Source organism: Homo sapiens, chromosome 3 (assembly GCF_000001405.40).
Source record: "Homo sapiens chromosome 3, GRCh38.p14 Primary Assembly".
Classification (NCBI taxonomy): domain Eukaryota; kingdom Metazoa; phylum Chordata; class Mammalia; order Primates; family Hominidae; genus Homo; species Homo sapiens.
Window position 1 is genome coordinate 138,247,012 of NC_000003.12, and position 21,281 is coordinate 138,268,292.

Below are 21,281 nucleotides of genomic sequence, written 5' to 3' on the forward strand. Positions count from 1 at the left end.
TACTGAAGAGATAAATTGTAAAATGGAAACTATAAAGTAATTTTGTGATAAAATCTACTTGAAGACTGGCCATAGGCGTGGAAAAATTTTATTTTCAGTGTATAAAAAATGATAAATAGTAGCACTTTTCTTTTGAGTGCATTTCTTTTCCTTTTTTGTTGTTGAAATAATTATTTGGGTAGATTTTTATTTACTTTCTCCATGAAATATTTATTTCTTGTTTACACTTATGTCTTATGAACTTGACTGTATTTTTTGTGTAGATCCTTAAAGTACAATGTTTATTGTTTGATTTTTTTAAAATGCAATGTTTATGCTTGCCAAGATGGAATTTCAGTTAACTGAGTCAATAAGTAGAGAAACTGAGTTAATGAGTGGAGAGTCTCTGAAAGAAATTTAAAGGACTGTAGATCTACTTCCCTCAATCCCTACTTCTCCCCCTCAAAAACCAACAAAAAGTTTGTTTGTTTCAGGAGAAAAACATGAAATGTTCAGTTGGTCTGCCATTTAAATTAAAAATGAGAACATAATTCAATACATTCGGTAAATAACATGTATTCTAGTGCCCTATTATGGCCAGTTAAGGAAAGGAGGCAGAATGAAGAAGAGAAAATAAGCAAAGTAGAGACAATGAGAGGTATACACAGTAGTAAAGGAGAAGGACGCTGGCCTCTCTTCATATAATTGTGTCTCTTTTACTGCTTCTAAAGACTTCTAAAGGTCTGCTGTGTTTTCATTTCTTGATACCTTCTCTTTGGGCCAGAGAATATTAAGCTGAAGATGGAATGTGACTTGTAGATCAGAGATTTACCACCCCTGCTTTGAAGCAGTGTTGGTGTATTCCCACTAAAATAAACCAACTGTATAACATTCCCTGGAACTTAATAAGCACTCAATAAATATTTGTTGAATAAATATAGAAATGAAAATGCAGAAATCGTACACAGAGTGACTTTTTCTTTAATTTGTTTGGACCTTTATCCTGCATGGAGCAAAATTGGTATTCTAATTCCGAGTGTTGCATCCTTTATTACTCTATGGCATACTTGAAAATTTCTTAATTTATTGTGGTGTCCTGTCAGCTAGAGTGAAGGAGGATGGTGCTGGTGGAAAGAGTTGTGCAGGTGAGAGTGAAAAATACTACCATTGACTGTGACATGAAGAGGGAGAAGAAGCCCCAGAAAAGATGGAGGATCACTGAGCCTGGCAACAGTTGTGGCCTGGCCGTGTTAAACTTAGAAGAATTCAAGCTACCTGTAATAATTGATCCTGACTCTGAATGGATTTTGGTTAGAGAGAGTAAGAGCATAGGCAGGAATTGAGAGCTCAGTGGAAGAAGGGTCCAGAACACATTAGCAGTAACTGCAATGACAGCAATGCCAAGTAAAAATTAGCTCTCATCTCTGCCAAAAGGAAAATCTAGTTTCTAATGATAGCCTTTACCATATATTAATGCTGATTAGGAAGCAGAAGTCCAGTTAATGGGATATTAAAAATGGAAGAAGTTAAGATACGAAGCAAAATAGATCAACAAACTATTTCAAGTACTGGCATCCCCAGTCAGTGATTAAGTCAGAAGAGGCAGCAGTGGCAAACAATCCTGTAATTTTGAGATAGATTCTTCTATGACAAATAATTGCTGTTATGAAGACCATCACTTGATTAGGACCTGTCGATCACCAGTTAAGTTGGAAGTTGAAAAAGGATTATCCTCTCTTACTCTTCAAGTAACTAGTAGAACTTGTTAGAAATGTTAGTGAAAATTAAGGGAAATTAGAAGTAAAGTGTAAATTAAAATTCAAGGAAATTGGTATACTAACCAGGATGTTGGTTTTATTTTTGATAAAAGTAAACACATTGCAAATGTTAAGTACGTATTGTAACCTTCATTCCCCTGGGGCACCTGACTAATGGAGCCTTGGGGAAAGTTTTCTGCTTCAATTTGAATACGTATATTTTAGCTGGAGATTTCTTTCGAGGAACTAGAATGTAAGCTCCATGAGGGCAGGGATTTATTTGTGTTTTGTTCATTAATGTATTCCCAGCATCTACAACACTGTCTGTGCATAGTTGACACTTAATAAATAATTGATGAATGAATGAATGAATGAAAAAATGAACACACAGACAAATGGATGAATGAGCAATATTGCATTATTAAGCACCCATTATCTTATATGCTCTTGTCTGCATTAGGAACTTTCCTAACCTCACTAGCAATTCTGTCTGTGTGTAAAGACAGGAAATTTGAAATGGAGAAAATATACCTCTGGTCATATAGTCAGGGGTTTCACTGTTATACTTAGCATAGAGAAAAATGCAGGAAATTCCCATTTTTTCAAGAGGCAGGCAATCCTGAGGGCTTGTCTTCTGCTTGCTTGGCTATCAATCAAAGAAAACATGTTTTATGGTATTGTACTTGCTTCATTTCAAAATAATTTTGACCATTATTTCTTAATTAGAAAATATAGAGTTTTTATCTTTCTAGATGTATGATTTTTTTAAAGTTTGTATCATTCACACGTGTGAATCTGGACCAGGTTTTCTAAGGATAAAAGTATGATTTGGTTTATAGAAATTAACCTTTCAGGAATCAACCTATTTGCAAGGTTATATATACTGATATAAAGTATTTTTCCAATTAGTGTCTGATTTTTAAGATCAGTTACTCAATTCTGCATAGACTGATTGAACTACCTGCATTGTATAATATTGCCCACTGGGTAGAGGGAAGGAGAGGCAGGGAGGGGAGATAAAGATCAACAAGGCATAGCCTTAAACCTCAGCATTTATAATAAAACCTCAATAAGTCAGAGAAAAGTAAGGAATGACCAGTAAGAATTTGCTGAGGTCTCAGAGAAGTATTTAGAACCCATTAAAATGGACATGTTTATCCATGGAGCTATCCTTGAGTCAATTTGGAATTTAATAGCTTAATTTTTGGTTACTTTAAATACTTTCTAAATGCTTTTCATTTTACATTTTCAAGAATTGAAAACATGAACTCTTAAGTTTTTGTTCCTTGAAGGAAAAAAAGTTGTCCAATCACAGTGGCTTTATATGACATGTGAAGAAAGCGAAGAGTGAGATTAAAAAAAATTTTTTTTTGAGAAGTGTAGACAGAAGAAAAAAGGAAAGCAAAGAACAAGAATTTGTCTTCTATCCTCTTTTTCCTAGCAAAGGAAGTTACAACTGCAGATCATTGTAAATACGTGATATAATGTACTTAAAATGTTTAGCACAGTGTCTGCCACATAATAGGTGCTCAATAAATGGAAGCATTTATTAGAATATCTAAGTAATTCATTGGGAGATTAAAAAAATATATTTTTAAGTATATTAAAAGAAAAGATGACCAACATTGAAGGTGTAAATAAGAGGTTTGCAATGAAGAAAGTGATTTTATGCTGTAAGTTTCTAAAACTTTATTCCAGTAAAAGAAGTTATGTTTTAGAAACATAGGCTCTTTCTGTAGAGTATTTCTTGGTAACAAATTGTCTTGTTTATAATTTTATTCTAAAATTTAAAATACTAATTTTTAAAACTATTGTCATAGCATGCCCTCCAAAGTGTATTAATAATTGGTTAAAATCTTAGATAATAGATGTCTTAAGAAAAGTAAGGAGGCCAAAATCTACCTAACTTTGATGACCTAATTGTTACTGCTTATGGTTGTCATGGATGTCATTTCTTCAGAGTCATCATTCATACAAAACCATATCCCAAAAATATATGTTCACATTTTGAACCAATGTAATTTTTTCTGTATTTTCAATGCTGTAAGATTTTAAAGCATATTTGTAAATTTAGGTCAATCTTTCTTAATATCTTTCTGCTGTCTCTAAAGATTGCTGGCTGGGCATGGTGGCTCACGCCTGTAATTCTAGCACTTTGGGAGGCTTAGGTGGGAGGATTGCTTTAGCTCAGGAGTTCGATACCAGCTTGGGGCAACATAGCGAAACTCCGTCTCTACAAAAAAAAATACAAAAATTATCCAGGCCCGGTGGCATGCACCTGTGGTCCCAGCTATTTGGGAGGCTGAGGTGGGAGGTTCACTTGAGCCCAGAAGGTCGAGGCTGCAGTGAGCCGTGATCACACTGTCACACCACTGTACTACTGCACTACAGCCTAGGTGACAGAGTGAAACCCTGTCTCAAAAAAAAAAAAAGATTGCTGAGCATGCATTCACTTTGAACATTTTTATTTATTACTAGTTGATCTTCTGGGTAACAGTATAAATGTACCGTGAATTTATATTGTTAAATATTTTGCAAAGTTTAATGATTCTAAATGGGCATTTAAAGGGCACAGCATCAAAATTTTGTATTTTTGTCTACCGTGAAATCAGGCAGATGCAAGGGATTATTTCTAAGCCTTAGCCTGCATATTGAAACAAACACCTTGTACATTTTGAAGGTTTTCCATGGTACCACAGAAGTAGCACCCTTCAGGACTTGGCTCTGCTACTGAATAGCAGCAAATTCATTCGGATTTCATAATTCCTTGCCTCAAACTGTGGTTAAGTTGTTAGTTACCTTCTTAAAGCAAATCCACCAAAGAATTTTATGTGAACCTTGCAACATTCATTCACAATGGTAAGTATTTTTAAAGAAATAACCATGACAGGACCAGGTTTTGCCACTTGCCCACAGTATTGAGACCTTTGGCCTTCAACATACTGAAAGAAGCAAACCTGGGAGTGATAATGCTGTATATATAATAGAGGTATTTATAAAATAATGAATTTTTATTTCATAGTTTCATTAAATGGAGATATAAAATTGAGTGTTATACTATTTGTGGTATGTCCCTTGCTTAAGCCATTGAAAGTATGATGGACAAGTTGGTTTATTGTTTATTATCTAGTTAAAAGACAGAGGTTATATACACCAAGAAATGGGCTAAAATATCTTTATTAGATCTGTAAATCTAAATGTTGTGACTTAGTTGGATTTTCAAGAACATTCTTTCTGGAAATGAATGAAATATTTGGAATAATTAAATATGTATGGAATAGTAGAACTTGAAAAGATTAGGATTGTGATAAGAATCAGGGATTGTTGCTATGCTCTTTCCTATGAATAAAGTGCTAGCATAGAGGTTGGTAAACTACAACCTGTGGGTACTGTTACCTACATTATAATTTTGTAGCTTGCAAGATAAAATTATTTTTGCATTTTTTGATGGTTGGGGGAATTAAAAGAAGAATATTTTCTGACATATGAAAAGGAAATTAAATTCAGGTTTATGTCCGTAAAGTTATATTGCCGTACGACCTTGTTGGTTTATGTGTTGACTTTTGACTGTTTTGCACTACCGAGGCAAGTTGAGTAGTTGTGACAGAACTGTATGTCCCACAAAGTCTAAAATATTTACTGCTTGGCCCTTACAGAAAAAGTTTGCCCACCCTGTGCTAATACTGCATAGCTAACCATAAACTCTTTTTTTTTTTTTTTTTTTGAGACGGGGTCTCGCACTGTCGCCCAGGCTGGAGTGCTGTGGCACGATCTCGGCTCACTGCAGCCTCCGTCTCCTGGGTTCAAGCGATTCTCCTGCCTCAGCCTCCCAAGTAGCTGAGATTACAGGCGCCCGCCACCACGCCTGGCTAATTTTTTGTATTTTTAGTAGAGATGGGGTTTTCACTATGTTGGCCAGGATGGTCCCGAACTCCTGACCTTGTGATCCACCCGCCTCGGCCTTCCAAAGTGCTGGGATTACAGGCGTGAGCCACCCCGCCCCCCCCCCCCCCCCACCCGGCCTAAATAGAAACTCTCATAAACCAGTTTGGCGAAATACCAAACTTCGCATATGCCTGTGTGTACTGGCATATAGAAAGAAACAGGGCCCTGACCAGAAGAGGGAGAAGCCAGTTGTCTGACTTTCTGAAGAAAGGCATTATCAATTGTTGACAGTAGACATTGTCACTGGATACTTTCCTACATACTGATTCCCTTGTTTGAATGATTTTGGCATGTGACAGACCCTAGAAAAATTAGATTAAAACTATGGCTTTGGGTTATGATTGGAAATCTTACTGGGTTCTGTGTATTGGTTAGCAAGGTTCTCTGAATAAGATTTTTCACTATGCTTGAGAGAAAAAAAAATCTAGTTCACTTATTAAGCAAATATATTAAGCCTTTGCTAAATATAAAGTGTTAGGTGGTATGGGGCAAGCAGAAATCATATAAGTCAGATACTTAAGTCAACAGAATCTGTTTGGGAAACCATATACAACAGAAATATAACTACTACCATTTGTTGAGCACTCACTATGTGCTGGACCCTGTGCTAAGCATTAGCACATTCTCTCCCTTAATTGTCATACCACCCTATGAGATAGTTTTTGCAGATCAGGAAATCAGCAATTTGACCAAGGCCCCCCAGCTAGTAAGTAGTAGAGTCTCTGTCTTATCCCAGTCTCTCTGACTCCAAAGCCTATGTTTTTAACTATTACATCACTTTATACATGCTAAGTTAAATACCATTATAGATCCAAATTATGGCATAGAATGGCAAGAAATTTTACTGAAGAGTATATGATTAGCCTAAAAAAATACTACAAACTGAGAGAACTTGGTATATAGCTTAATAGTTTGTCCTAGCTGTTTACAAAGCATTAGATTCAGAAAACGCCATTTCTCTCACATAGCTTTTGGTACTAAGTGGGTAATGAGATGCTTTAATCCATCTGTACACTCATCATGTAACATTGATGTATGCTCAGAATGAAGCAGAAGACTGGCATGTACTTTGTGAATGCTTACAGTTTAATGTAGTTAGGGAGATGAGACACTAAATTGCTATGTAGTAATTCCAGAGCCTCATGTGTGTAAAAAGTCTGTCCACACTGAAAGCCATTTTTGCCCTGAACAGTGTACCCAGATATGATTAAGATATGACTGTAATTGAAATAACCTATTATGAATGAGTCTGGAAAAGTCCCTCTCTTATAAAGAAGTTTATTTGGAAGATTTCTTACCTTCTAAAATACTAAAATCATTTCTTCAGAAGTTTTGACCCATAGAACATGAGGGACCTCCATATCTGTGTTCCTTCTGCATTAATTTTAAATGTTTTTCTAAGGACACTGTCTAAATATGATTTTATTTCATTCTAGAGAGGAAGTATCCAGATTATGTATCAAGGTGCTATTTTAGCATTTTATTCTGTAGACAGCTTCTTTATGGGAATAGAATTAAACTTCAGACAACATTTTGAAATCCTTGAATCTGTTAATAGGTTACTTCTTTGTCAGTGGTTGTCACTGGAATGTAAGCTATGTAAAAGCAGTACCTGGCATATTGTAGGTGTTATACTTTATCTATTGAGTAATTTTTATATGTCTGGACCTGAAAATTTAGCCAGCTAACCTGTGGGGTAATAAAAACTGTGAGGGTGCATGCCTGTGTATATAGAGGATAGGGGCTGAACAGGCATTGTGTTGCACAATTCCTGGGCACTGAATCGTTCATGTGCCCAGGATGGCAAACAGGAGGAGACAGATGGAAGTCTCAGTTGTTTGCATCATAATTTATAATGGTTTTATTTATGTGTTAAAAGAGTGTAATTCAGTGGCTGTTAAGGCTGTATTCTGCCATTAAGCTAATGACTAAACTTTATGAAATTGAACTCATAGAGAAATATTTTTTGATAGAAGTATTGATCTGTTTTTCTGCAGTATAAGTATTTCTGATGCAATATGTTTATACCTTTGGTTTTGGGGAAAGGAAAAGTCGACTCAAGAGAAAACTCCCACTTTTCCACAAAGTGTAGAGAAGTTTAGAACTTTCTTCTAATGTTTCTTCTGAACATTTAACATAAACGACTTTCCCAGCTAGTAAGAAAATAAAAAGATGTAAATGACCTCAGGTATAAATGACAAAATATCATGAGGCTTAAAAGTAAAAATGAAATGTAGAAACTTAAGAATGGGCCCACAATATGTACCCCTCTTCTTTATCTTCTACCCCTAAAGTGAAGTGATACAGCTCCAGCTCCCAGGCAGGCAGGCAGACCTACAGGAGAGGCTAGATGCTGATTTAATTCAGTACCTTCAAGAGAAAGGATCAAAAAGAGGCCCTACAGACCATCTCTTAGATGGTGGGTTTTTTAGGTCTCCAGCTGAGAGAAGATAGACTATTTCCTCCCACCCCATGCCTCCCAAACATTGTTCTGTTCTGTTTTTTTTTTTTTTGTTTTTTTTTTTTTTGAGATGGAGTCTCGCTCTGTTGCCCAGGCTGGAGTGCAGTGGCGTGATCTCGGCTCACTGCAAGCTCCACCTCCCGGGCTCAGGCCATTCTCCTGCCTCAGCCTCCCAAGTAGCTGGGACTACAGGCGCCTGCAACCACACCCGGCTAATTTTTTGTATTTTTAGTAGAGACGGGGTTTCACTGTGTTAGTCAGGACAGTCTCGATCTCCTGACCTTGTGATCCGCCCGCCTTGGCCTCCCAAAGTGCTGGGATTACAGGCCTGAGCCACCGCGCAGGGCCAACATTTTTCTGTTGACTCAAGATCATGGAGTTAGAAGAATTTGGTATGAATGTGGGAGTGGATAGCAATGAAAGAGTGAGAGGAGGGAAGAAATACTTTGTCAAGTGTTTACTGAGACCCCAGAATGTAATATATTCATCAGTGATCTGTTCTAAGAGAAACTGAACAGCTTTTTCTCATTTAGAAAAAAACAAAAGCTGGGAGCGGTGACTCACACCTATAATCCCAGCACTTTGGGAGGCCGAGGTGAATAGATCCCTTGAGGTCAGGAGCTCAAGACCAGCCTGGCCAACATGGTGAAACCCCATGTCTACTAAAAATACAAAAATTAGCTGGGCGTGGTGGCATGCACCTATAATCTCAGTTACTCAGGAGGCTGAGGTGGGAGAATCGCTCGAACCCGGGAGGCGGAGGTTGCAGTGAGCCTAGATTTCGCCTGGGCGACAGAGTGAGACTCCATCTCAAAAAAAGAAAGGAAAAGAAGAAGAAGAAAGAAACAAAACAAAACTGGCTTTTACTTTAAAATTCTTTGCTAGAGGAAAATGTCCAAACATCTTACATTGGAGCAGTGGCACAGGTATTACATAACAGGGTATGGATGGGAAACCCTGCAGTTTTTATTTGCAACAGATGAATGGAACTTGTGGCTAAGGACAGTAGAATGTTAGTTCCATTTGGTTACTATCTGCTAAAGCTAGATCCTCATTCTAAAATGGAGGTCAGATGAGTTGAAATGTCAGTGGAACTCTGTGGTTTCTTCCCGGTTTTTCTTGGCTTATCTTTTCACTGGCTGGCATCCTCTCTGAGCTTTGCCATTTGTACCCCCAACCAAAGCTGAATCATTGATTTGTCATTTTCTCTCTGGGAGGTCCTGTAAAGTATATCTTTTTTTCCTCCTTCTTTTTTTTTTTTTTTTTTTTTTTTTGAGACGGAGTCTCGCTCTTTTCGCCCAGGCCGGAGTGCAGTGGTGCTATCTCGGCTCACTGCAAGCTCCGCCTCCTGGGTTCACGCCATTCTCCCGCCTCAGCTTCCCGAGTAGCTGAGACTATAGGCGCCCGCCACAGCGCCTGGCTAATTTTTTGTATTTTTAGTAGAGACGGGGTTTCACCGTGTTAGCCAGGATGTTCTCGATGTCCCGACCTCGTGATCTGCCCGCCTCGGCCTCCCAAAGTGCTGGCATTACAGGCGTGAGCCACCGCGCCCGGCCTTTTTTTCCTTCTTGTTCAGTTTATTAATGATGCCCCTTCTTGCCAAGTATAGTATACTAATCTTTATTGGCCCAAGATATCAATATATAGTCTGTGGTTTCTACAGCAATGATAATTTTTTATAGTTCTTTTCCTCTTTCCCTGTTTTCGAAGTCAGATCTCAATTTAGTTAAGGCTAAGTGAAAAATCTCATCCTTAAAACATAGTGAATAGAAAGGACCTCATACTGGAAGTAAGAAAACCTGGGAAATGGGGAAGGATGCTCTGCTGCAGTTTGCCTGAAGAAACTGGACCAGTGACTTAATCTTTCTGAACTTCAGAGACCTCAGATAAGACTATTTCTAAGACCTCTTCAGATATTAACATTATTCAGCCTAAAAATGAACAGGCACAAATGTGTTTAGTTCTGTCAGATAGTTAAGTCCACTGCATTAAGAGAATGCAGTAAGAGAATTGGTTTTCCAGTTGAACTGAGTTAGGAGCAAGCACTGCAACTGCCCTTACTTGATTCGTGGAATACCATGTACTGTTGGAGATTTTGGATTTGGGTTTTTTGGTCTTTGGTTTGTTTTTGTTTTGCTTTACTTTGTTTTAATAAAGGAGAAATGGTATGAGGATATACTCAAGAATAATACACATTAGGTGCTCAAGCATTTCCATGATGTATATGGCATCATGTCTTTAAGTATCCTGTGGTCGTCTTATAAAATCACATGGTCACTTCCTAAAGCCTAGTGAAAGATTGGTTTTCCATTTGGGGCAATGGATCTCTCCCCTGACTCTTGCTGGTTCTACCCAGTCTATCCAGATAAGCTGGTTGTATATGCCTATTTCATTCTAGTATCTGCCTTCTTACCTCATGGCCCTTCTCTTTCCTCCCTAGTCTCTATCCCATTTCCAAAACTAGTGTCTTGATGGCGCTGACATGAGATCTTGGGTTTATAGTGCTCATTTCCTAAAAAATAAAAAAAAAATTTAAGTGAGGAACTCTAGACCTTAAATAAATGGTCCTGCTAGGAAAGACTCAAGTGCGTGTCCTGGGACTTGTGTTTCTTGACACTTATGAGACTAAATTGCCATCCGCACCCAGCAGGTCCAGTCTCTGTTATACGTCCTTTTTCCTTGCCAGACCTACTCTCTCTCCCTGACCTCCTTGTGCTGCACCCTGCTTGGCTGCTTAATCCCTCCTGCTTTAACTAGAGTCTGGATTTGATACCTTATCCACTTAGATATTAAATGACTGCGGCTTGTGATTTTCAGAGTTTAATTCCAGGTCCTTATTCTTTCTGGCCAGTTCTGTCTTGTTATTACTCATAATCCATTAAAACTTTCTCTGGAAACTTTCACAAAAGCCTATTTGGAATTAAATTGTATTTGCTTGGCTATTATGCACATTCACATAAGTGATTGATGTTAAGAGAGAGCCCACTTTGCCACCCACTGCCTTGACACCCCCTCAACCCACCCACTTTGAATTGTCTGAGAAGTTTGCTGACACCACTGAGAATCTACCTGGTTTCAGTTTCCACATATTTTGGTTGACCTGGTTTCAGCACAGTTGAAGCTAAAGTCCAAGCTAAAGTTTTTCTAGTATCAAGAATGTTTCATCCCGAATAAAGCTGGAAGAATAGTTTGTCTTGTTTTTTCAAAGACCATATCTCTGACTCTTAGTTCTTCATGTGCTCAGAGGAAAAGATGGCTTATGTCCTGGCCACAACTAAATTTTGGATCTACTAAAGGTCATGGAGGGCTGGGAAGTTCCCTTGTAGCCAAAGGCCCATTTTCAAGTTGTTGGAGTTCCTGTGTATACCATAAACCACCACCTTAGTATTATCTGGATTCTGCATTTTCCCCATGATCCTCTGGACTGAGTGCCCCTCTTTCCCACTGGTCATAAAAGTCTTGTCCCGATTACAGGGGGCTCAGATCCTGTTCTAATAGATCCTTATCCACTCCTGCAAGAGCAGCAATGCAAGAGACAGTTTCGCAAAAGCATGTCATAAAAGCTAAAGACACCAGCAGGGAGGTACACAATACCTGATCCATTGACCTAAAGCGGTCAGTTGAGGATGCAACATTTTTTGTGTTACTTAATTCTGTAGTTTACAGCCCAGGCCCCTAGAAAAGCCTAGGAAGAAAGATGGCCTCCTCCACTCTGAGGATTCAGTCTACTACAAGTACCCCTTCTGGCTGGGCACAGTGTCTGTGTAACAGAGGGCACTGTCTCTTTTTCTTTTTTAGCAGATCCAACCAGCTATGCCACAGGGCATATTTGCTGAGCTATGGCCGAGGAGTCTCCAACAAGAACCATGAGGGAGAACAACTTTCAGCTTTACTTGGCATTGCTCTTACATCCTGGAAGGACCTAAGATGCTTTTGCAGGGTGCTAGGACTTGGCACCCTCCATCATATCAAGGCTGTGGAGCACGGTACTGGGGTCGTTAAAAGGCACCACGGAGGACATGTTTTATTGCTCTTGGTTTTCCAATCCCATGTTTGAAAAGCTGTCTGGTGCACTGTTAAACCTTCATATGGGTCAGAGGGCTGTGGCAGCAGCCACTACCAGCTCCTTCCCTGCTGACCTGAAAATTTTTTCTCTGGACTGGATTCCAAACCTTTTCCTGTCTGTGATCACATTTTTGTCCTCATTTTTGTCAGTGTATTCACTATAGTGCCCTTTGTATCCATACACAGACGGTCTCCATGCCCTCAAGCTTGCAAAACCCTGGTTAGATCATATTGTCCATACCCTTTTGGAATTCAAAGTTTACATTCTAATTTTATATTGTTTTTCACTCTCACTCCCAGACTGATGTCTTGATGGAGAAGGTGGACCAGAGATTCAAGCATGCTTTCTAGAACCCTAGCAGGGTTACTGAATTATCTCCATTACAAGTTCAGTTACAGATTCAGGCCTTCTGCTATAGACATTCTGTTAGACTATGATCTAAGAAGGGTCAACTTGTGCCTGAGGGGAAGATACCTCCAGATAGTTTTATGTCCTGACTTGGAAAGCGTTTACCAGCCACCTTATAGCTATACTCTGTCTCCAAAGTATCAGGGACCATACACCCCTAGAAACTTTAAAAGAAAGCGCAAAGCTACACTCTTAATGTTACAGTGATTGAGCCCTAATGTTTTTCCACTGTCCTAGATTGTAAAATTCCTGTTCTTGAGAAAAGATGTCTTCCTACCTTCCCTTTGTAGATACTTGTTTCAGTGTGTGGCCCCATGGTCCCTGTCATTCCCAAGGTGTTCTTTCTACCATGAAATCAAGCACCATAGCACTGAAACACTTAAATTATGTTTGCTTATTCAATACTGTGAGTTTGGTAGAAGCAAGGGCTTTCTCTTCCTCACCGTTTTGTTTTTGAGTTTCAAAACCATGCCTGTCACTCTCTGGGCACTCAGATATTTGCTGAATACATAATTATAGAAATGCAAGTAGGAATTGCGCTGTTTGCTTTTCCTTGCCTTCTCCTTTAGCACTCTAAGTAGACCTGAACCATTCTCCAGCCTCTCCTCACCCGCCTTCTTCCCAAGTTCCTTCTAAACAACATGGTAGTTTTGTCCAGACTGACTAACATGATCCTTATTCACCTGCTGATTACAAAAGATTGGAGATAAAATAATCATTACTGTATCTCCTCATTTTACTGAAGGCCCAGAGAGGTAAATTGCCCAAGATTATACAGCATATCCACTCCATAACATTCCATTTCCCCTGCTTCACCCACTAGGCTGGCTACCTACTCATTTTATTTCTGATCATCACCCTATTCCCTTTCCACAGGTTCTTTCATATCAGCCTTCCAGACTTTGGGAAGAGGCTACCGTCTGGACTTTAGCCCATACTAAGCTTGTAGAATTTTCTGTCACATCTCTTGTGTGGAATTAGGCTTTTTCTTGGTGCTAAGCAACTTCAGGGATTTGTGACCTATGGCTATACTGAGATATACTTTATTAAATGCCTATGATTGCTACATCATTCTGGTTCTTTGGTAGATTTACATCTTTGATTGAATGTAGCCAGGAAACCTTATCTAGAAACCTCTTTCAAGTCTTGGCCACACCCAGGGCAAGCATCTGGAGCCAATGCTAATAGTATTTCTCAGTTCTTTCTGGAGAGTAACCATGTGTTCAATCCATCCGTACTTCTACCACCACCACATTCTCTGATGATGTAACTATATCCAGTACAGGCAGTTGTTTCTCCCAAGTTATCACTTCTCATTCTTAAGTAAAAATAATTTCCCAAGCCAGAAGGATCTTTCAGGCATAAGCATCTAGTCCTCCACTGCCTGAAACTTTTGCCCTAGGCTTTTGTTTCCTTCCCATATTGAAGGTACTGATTTGGCCTTGTCTGTTTCAAGAACAGTGACTAGTGCATGATTGAACTAACCCAGCCAGTCTTTGATGGTTGCTGTAGCACAGAAGATTAGGTAATTTGGAAAACACACTACTATGACCCCCAAGGTAATAGTAATAAGGTCCCAACTAGTTTAATGGAATGCGAAAGGAATGAATATAAGGTATAGTGCTAAGTAAATTGTTTTGGTTTTGTGTGGTAAGGGAGGAAGAGTTGGGGTCAAAATTAGCACAAATGTAGGGCCTGGGTGGCTGGGAGAATGTTAAAATACCGTTAGCAAAAACAGAAAGACACAGAGAACAAGCAGGTTTAGCCAAGGCTAGGGGGTGGGAGGACAAATTCAGTATGAGGCGTAATAGATGGGAAGTTCCACTGAACATCCATGTCATATTTATTAGGCAATCAGAAGTATGGAGCTAGAGGTCAGGAAAGAACTCTAGGACAGAACTTTAGAAAATTTCCAATACTGAGTTGGTTTTTAAGTCACAGTATTGTTATATATAAGAGATGGAGATGGACAGAGCCTTTATTGTATATATGCCCATTTAAAGATGGAAAGTGGGGAGAGGACTAGCTTCAAGAGGTTAAAGTTTGGACACTTAAACGTCTTTTAAACAGGATTGAAAATGAGAGGTAGGACAGAGTAAAGATGTGAGAACATTATGGAAAGGTAGTTTTTGGATCAAGGTAGATAGGCTTTGAGCTTGAAGTACCCAACCTTGACAAGAGTAAAGAAAACAGCAAAAGCATGGAGACCTTTCGTCAGAAGTGGGAAGTTGCAATGTGTGTCCCCAAAATCAAGGTCCCTACGAAGATGAGGTGGGCACAGAGTGGCTGCGAGCATGAGGGAGGCAGAAGAATTTGAAGTAAGAGGTAGCTACCATAAGGAACATGGGCATCTCCAGGGGGTTACAAGGCTGGTCACCAGCAGTGAGGGTGCCGCTGAGGTGGGATAGCTTACACGGAAAGAACAGTCATGTTTGGTGGTTTTTCTAGAGCAACATCAGCAGTTGGTATCTGGAGGAGGAGTAATGAATGGTGGGAGGACAGTGAAAAAGGGAAACTGTCTTCTAAGTGGAGTGTCTGAGCAGGACATCCATGCCAGGGGGAAAAGATATGAGGGAGTCACAAAGAGTAGGTAGACTGAGAAAGGGAGGAATTTAGGGGCTAGAGGTGACAATGAGGACAGAGAGTGATTGTGCATATCAGTAAGAATGGAATTAGGTTTGGTCTAGGGCGAGGAGTAGATCAATATGTAAATGTTTTGGAAACTAAAACACCAGATAAAAATTACCATTCCTAATCTACAGCTAAAATGTGGTTCCCTGTTCTTAATAGATGATATTTTCCCTGATCATTGTTAATTTCAACAATATTTTCTTCTCTTCTTGTTTGGCTGAAACATCCTGAGGTTTTCCACTCTCTCATGTTCTAAGGTCAGACTTCTGAATCCTCTCATTTTAGTCTAGGTCAGTGATCTTCAACCTTGGCTGTGTACTGGACTCACCTGAGGAGATTAAAAAAAAAAAAAAAATTTAGGTGCCTAGCCCTGACCCTGGAGAATCTAATTTAATTGGTCTGCTGTATGGCCTGGACATAGGATTAAAAAAAAAAATCTCCCCAGGTAATTCTTCTGCAAGGACAACCAAGGTTAAGATCTATTGGTCTAGGTATTCTCCCAGGTGAGAGTAACGACTCCCATTAATGAGTTGCCCATATTGGGAACTACCTGGTGAGTACAAGAGGACTACCTTAACCAGGGCTGTATTACAAGTGTGGCTGAGCATATAGACTCTGGAGTCACATGCCTGGGTACGTATCTCAGCTGTGTGATTACAGGAAAGCTCTGTATTATCCAGAATAATGCCTACAGAAGAGTGAGGGTTAAATTGGGTAATATAACATGCTTAGCACAGTGCTTGGCACATGGAAGAACTCAACAAATGTGTTTGTTAATATTTGTGTTGTGATGTCATGAGTACTTTATTCTAATATGAAAAGGCTGTTTTTCAATAGGCCCACACAAGTCAAATTCAGTTTCCTTCACACACTATTTATTTTGTATCTAGACATTGATGAAGGAAAATTGCAGGTTATCTTATTTTTAAGTTGAAACAATAAAGCTTCATGATTATAGTGATTATATGTAGCAGCACTTCGTGCTATAGTGAAAGATGGCAAGGGTTACTTTTCTAAAAGTTTCAGTCGGTTGGTAAGAAAGTAGCCACAGGGTGGCTCTGTCCTAAGCCCAGATTTCATTTTGTGAGGGCTGAGCATGGACTGTGATTTCTTTAGAACCTCACTCTGGAAGGAACCTGCCCAATGAGAGTTCATTTATTTCTTTTCCTTTTTCTCAAGATTATTTACATAACACCTCTGCAGTACTTATACCATTTAATTTTTGTGTTAAATGTCTTTAAAAATAAACAACATAACCTGCCCCTTACGCCTGTCATTCAGCCTGGCAGGTCCTTAGTGGGCTAGACCTACCTTTCTGATGAGCTGCCCGCCCCCAGCGCAAGATGATTGTTTGAGAGGTAAAAACTCTTGCCAAAAACAACGTTAAACTTTTAATGGATGTTAACATACTTGCATTTACAAGCAGTGAAGTTTGTCACCTTCATGTTGTTATTTATGCAGCATTAACCTTTTTCTCCAGATCATTGAGACTGAAAATATGATGGACCGAATTGTGACTGGCTTGTCTGAGTCTAGTGTCAAGGTGCGGTTAGCTGCCGTCAGGTATGAGCTTTAAATGGTCTGAATAAAAACCTTTTGCCATATATTTAACCTGTTTCCTTTCTGGTCCTTCACTGAGTAAACACAGACTACAAATGTTCCTCAAAAATCTGCTCAGGTGAATTCATAGAGTATATAACATTGTCTAACAGAGAGCCTGGCCTCCAAACCCCATAAAGTGGTCTGATGTAGTTCACTTAACAATGTAGATATGCTTGAAGTGTACATTAGTCATTGTAAAATGCCAGCCAGTTTGTTTGAAAAGTAAAAGTTTTGATTTCTTGTGAAGCTAATTTTGATTATTCTTTGTAGATGTTTGCACAGTTTATCCAGATCTGTGCAGCAGCTTCGAACCAGTTTCCAGGATCATGCTGTTTGGAAACCTTTAATGAAGGTAAGAAGAAAGGGTCAGCCAGTAACAGCTGTACTCACAGACCCTAGAGTGAGCTGAGCTAGCTAACACTACTCCCTGGTCTAGGAGTATGTCTGATTTTTGTGTAGAGCATTTTGAACGTTTATCTCCTCAAATCTGATATTCTAAGCATCTACAAATGCTTCATGTGTGAGGGGGAACTACAGGCCTGATTTTCTTTCTTTTTTTTTTTTTTTTTTTTTTTTTGAGATGTAGTCTAGCTCTGTCACCCAGGCTGGAGTGCAGTGGCATGATCTTGGCTCACTGCAACCTCCACCTCCCCGGTTCAAGCGATTCTTCTGCCTCAGCCTCTCTAGTAGCTAGGACTACAGGTGCGCACCACCACGCCTGGCTAATTTTTGTATTTTTAGTAGAGGCGGGGTTTCACCATATTGGTCAGGCTGGTCTTGAACTCCTGACCACGTGATCTGCCCGCCTCGGCCCTCCAAAGTGCTGGGATTACAGGCATGAGCCACTGCGCCCAGCCAGGCCTGATTTTCTTTTATTAACTAAGCTTTAGTTACTCATCTGATCTCCCTATTTGTTTAATATTACACCTTAACCTTATATCCAGAATTATCCTTGTAATTTTTGGTTCTGAAAAGCAAAGGAATCTGCCATTTACAGAGATAATGTGTTGTTCTTAGTCTCGGCAATCCCTGGATTTTTTTTTTTTTTTTAAATAGACACAGGGTCTCACTGTGTCACACAGGCTAGAGTGCAGTGGCTCAGTCATGGCTCACTGCAGCCTTGTGCCCCCCGGCCCAAGTGATTCTCCCACCTTGGCCTCCCAAGTAACTGGGACTACAGGTATGTGCCACTATGCCTGGCTAATTTTTTTTATTTTTTTGAGACAAGGTCTCGCCAAGTTGCCCAGGCTGGTTTTAAACTCCTGAGCTCAAGTGATCCTGCCTTGGCCTCCCAAAGTGTTGGCTAGGATTACAGGTATGAGCCACCATGCCTGACCCCTGGATATTTTTTAACATAACATTTTTGGTGTTAGGTCTTCTCTTCAGGCCCCTTTTGTCCCCCCCAAAAAAGGTTCAGGACAAATGAATCTGAATCAAGACTTAGAGCATGTATCAAGTGGCTGCTAATAATGTTATCCCCTGATACACTACAAAACTTGGTCTTTGGTCTATCATTTTTTTTCTTAAGTGATCATATACCTTGCATTTAGTCAACTTAATTTTTTAGAGTTTTGTTTTGTTTTTGCATACCTGCTATGTACTAAGCAAAGCCTTCAAGTACAGTGAGCTACCAAAAACATTTTATCACAGAACTCTTACTCTTGGCTTAAAGCTTTAGGTTTAGGAGGCGGGGGCATCAATGTGGCAGAAATAGGCAAGAGACCATTCAGGCAGGAAGAATATAAAGTGGGCTTTGAAAGCAAGAGGAAAACAGGAGGATTTTCTGGGGAGCAGAATAGCATGAGGAGAAACATTATGTATGGTATGTGTAGGGAACGGCAAGTATACCTTTATGACTCTAGTGGAGCAGTGGGATATAATGAGACATACCAGTGGACAGGTAAGGACGAAGTGGAAGAGTTAGACCAATGCCAGTGGCCTTGGGAATTGACATGCTGAGTGGTTCTTCCATTGAGGAGGTTCATCTAGTGACAGAGTATATGATTTATGTGTTGAGGTCCTGGAATAAAGCAGTAGGAGTGGCTTAGGAAAGACCATATGAACCCTGGAGCTACTTCAGTGGAAGGAATGATAGATTGAGTGTATGATTCACTACTCAGGAGCTGTCAGGGGGACACCAAGAGTTTTCTATTTTCTAGTCTAAACAAGTGTCACAATATGGTCTTATGAGGCCTATCAGAACAGTATGTTTCTTTAACAACTTATTTTCAGTGGGCCTGCCTAAGCAGTATGTAACATTGAACTTGACCCATTTTCATCCATTGGCACATCTTCCTGAGTTTCACTCTTTTTCACCCTATTAGACATATGTCATCTCTTCTGAATACTCCTCATTCTCTGAGATCCTTTTGCTTCCTGAACCTCATTAAGAGCCCCAAATCTCAGAATGGTTATTTACCTACACTCTACTCTCCAGCTACAGTATCAGTGCCTTTCTATGCTTGGAACACACTTGCTTATGGAGTGTGCCAGCTCCCACCAGCAAAAGTTTATTTCAGGACCACCATCCCTTATCCAAAACTGTTGGGGCCAGATTTGACATTTCTGGATTTTTATAGTTGAGGAATTCATGTACCTATTTAGTTGTTGAGCCCAAATTTGTATCCAAGTAGTCTTATGTTTTTCATTTCCCTGCTACGGTACTTCCCTTATTATTCACTATATCACATTTAATCCTAAATAGTTCTATCAAGGAGGTCTTATTTTCCTCAGTTTATAGATGAAGAAATACAGGCTCAGGCTAGTTAGTGGAAGTGTCCAGTTGGAACTAGGTCTGTGTGATTCCATTTCTGAGAACCAGTCTCCCACACTGTCCTGCCTATGCAGTAGTAGCCTGCTTGATTCGTCAGTGCTCCTGGTCAAACAAGCCCTTCTAAGGACACATCAGAAAGTCAGGCTGTAGGACCATTCTGTAGACTCATAAGGGGCTTGACTGATGGAGTAGAATGAGCTCACTTACCCCAGAGCAGTCCCTTGGCCTTCAAGCATTTCACATAAGAGTATCTTCCCCTGACATGTCTCTCTCCTCCCTGCAAGAGCCCCCAGTGAGGCTGCAGCTTCTCCAAGCAAGACAGATTTGAGGGCGTTAGTCCGTCATAATTATAGCACTAGGAAAAGTTTGACACAGTATCAAGTGGATTCTTCCTATCTCTCCAATACGAAGAATCAGGTTGAAAGATAATTGTTCTTGTTTTTATTTATATTTTATATCTCATTTTATATCTCATCTTCATCATTCCAAATCATTAGTAGTATCCTTTTTTAATTCCATAGGTTTTACAAAATGCACCAGATGAAATCCTAGTGGTAGCATCTTCCATGCTGTGTAATCTTCTTCTTGAATTTTCTCCAAGCAAAGAGGTTAGTATTGATTTTCTTTTCCTAGACTTTGCCCAGTCCAGCTAGAGCTTACTCAAATACTTTTTATAGTAGTTGACATTGAAATCTGTGGGTTGGGTTTAAAAACTACTTCGGAATTGTTTGATTGCATAGCGGTAGGGGTGTGCAAATAAATCATTCATTTTAAAGTACGGTTATCATTTCCCATTATTCTTGTTATTCTATCTAACATATTCAGCTTATTTAAAAGATATTACATCTTCAAGTCTATCTAAACTGCCTGAAACTGTGAATGTAAGAAATAATTTTTCTTACAAATAGTAAACTATTCTCAGGCTATCTTTACTAAAGAATAAATTAAGACTAAATTTTGTAAACCAGGATTATAAATCATTTCAAGGACATAACTGCTGTCATTGGAAAATCATCTTTTGATGTTTAATGTTAATGGTAGTTGTTTGGGGAGGGGTTGGATGGGGGTTCCCTTCTGCATTTTATAAAATATTTGAGTATGTATTCTTTTTTTTAATAGGAAAAACTAAAATATACCTTAATGAAGAAGGGGAAAACCTTATACAGTTAGTTTTATTATGTCATAATACCCCTGATCTGCCCAATTATGAACTCAGGTTTATTGTGCATTTAGTTGTCCCATTTGTGTTGAATTTATTTGCTGCATTATAACACTTGTAGGCATTGACTATAATTAAGAAAGGTAGTATTAATAAGATGGAGGTTCTGGCCAGGCACGGTGGTTCATGCGTGTAAACCCAGCAGTTTGGGAGGCCAAGGCAGGCAGAACACTTGAGGTCAGGAGTTTGAGACCAGCCTGGCCAACATGGTGAAACCCCATCTCTGCTAAAAGTACAAAAATTAGCCGGGGGTGGTGGTGCATGCTTGTAATCCCAGCTACTCGGGAGGCTGAGGCAAGAGAATCACTTGAACCCGGGAGGCAAAGGTTGCAGTGAGCTGAGATCGCGCCACTGCACTGCAGCCTGGGCAAAAGAGGGAGACTCCATCTAAAAAATAAAACAAAACAAAAAAACAAGATGGAGGTTCAGAAATAGTTATT

At 39.4% G+C, this 21,281-nt stretch overlaps 2 protein-coding genes across 16 annotated transcripts in view; one reads left to right on the forward strand and one right to left on the reverse strand.

Moving 5' to 3' along the window:
• The window catches only part of ARMC8 (armadillo repeat containing 8), a 111,142-nt gene that overhangs the window by 59,764 nt on the left and 30,097 nt on the right, over window positions 1–21,281 (forward strand). For 13 of the 14 annotated variants that reach the window (XM_006713565.3, XM_024453441.2, XM_011512632.2 and 10 more), the window contains 3 exons: window positions 16,728–16,810; window positions 17,120–17,201; window positions 20,144–20,230. In XM_006713565.3, coding sequence (XP_006713628.1) covers window positions 16,728–16,810; window positions 17,120–17,201; window positions 20,144–20,230 — 252 coding nt within the window. Of the gene's footprint in view, window positions 1–11,940; window positions 12,125–16,727; window positions 16,811–17,119; window positions 17,202–20,143; window positions 20,231–21,281 lie in introns of those variants that run through there. The other variant, XM_047447902.1, reaches the window with a different exon arrangement.
• Window positions 14,425–21,281, reverse strand: part of NME9 (NME/NM23 family member 9) — a 68,416-nt gene continuing 61,559 nt past the window's right edge. For both annotated transcript variants that reach the window (NM_178130.4, NM_001349021.2), the window contains one exon: window positions 14,425–15,575. In NM_178130.4, the coding sequence (NP_835231.1) occupies window positions 15,529–15,575 (47 nt within the window). In that variant the 3' untranslated portion in view covers window positions 14,425–15,528. The remainder of the gene's footprint in view (window positions 15,576–21,281) is intronic.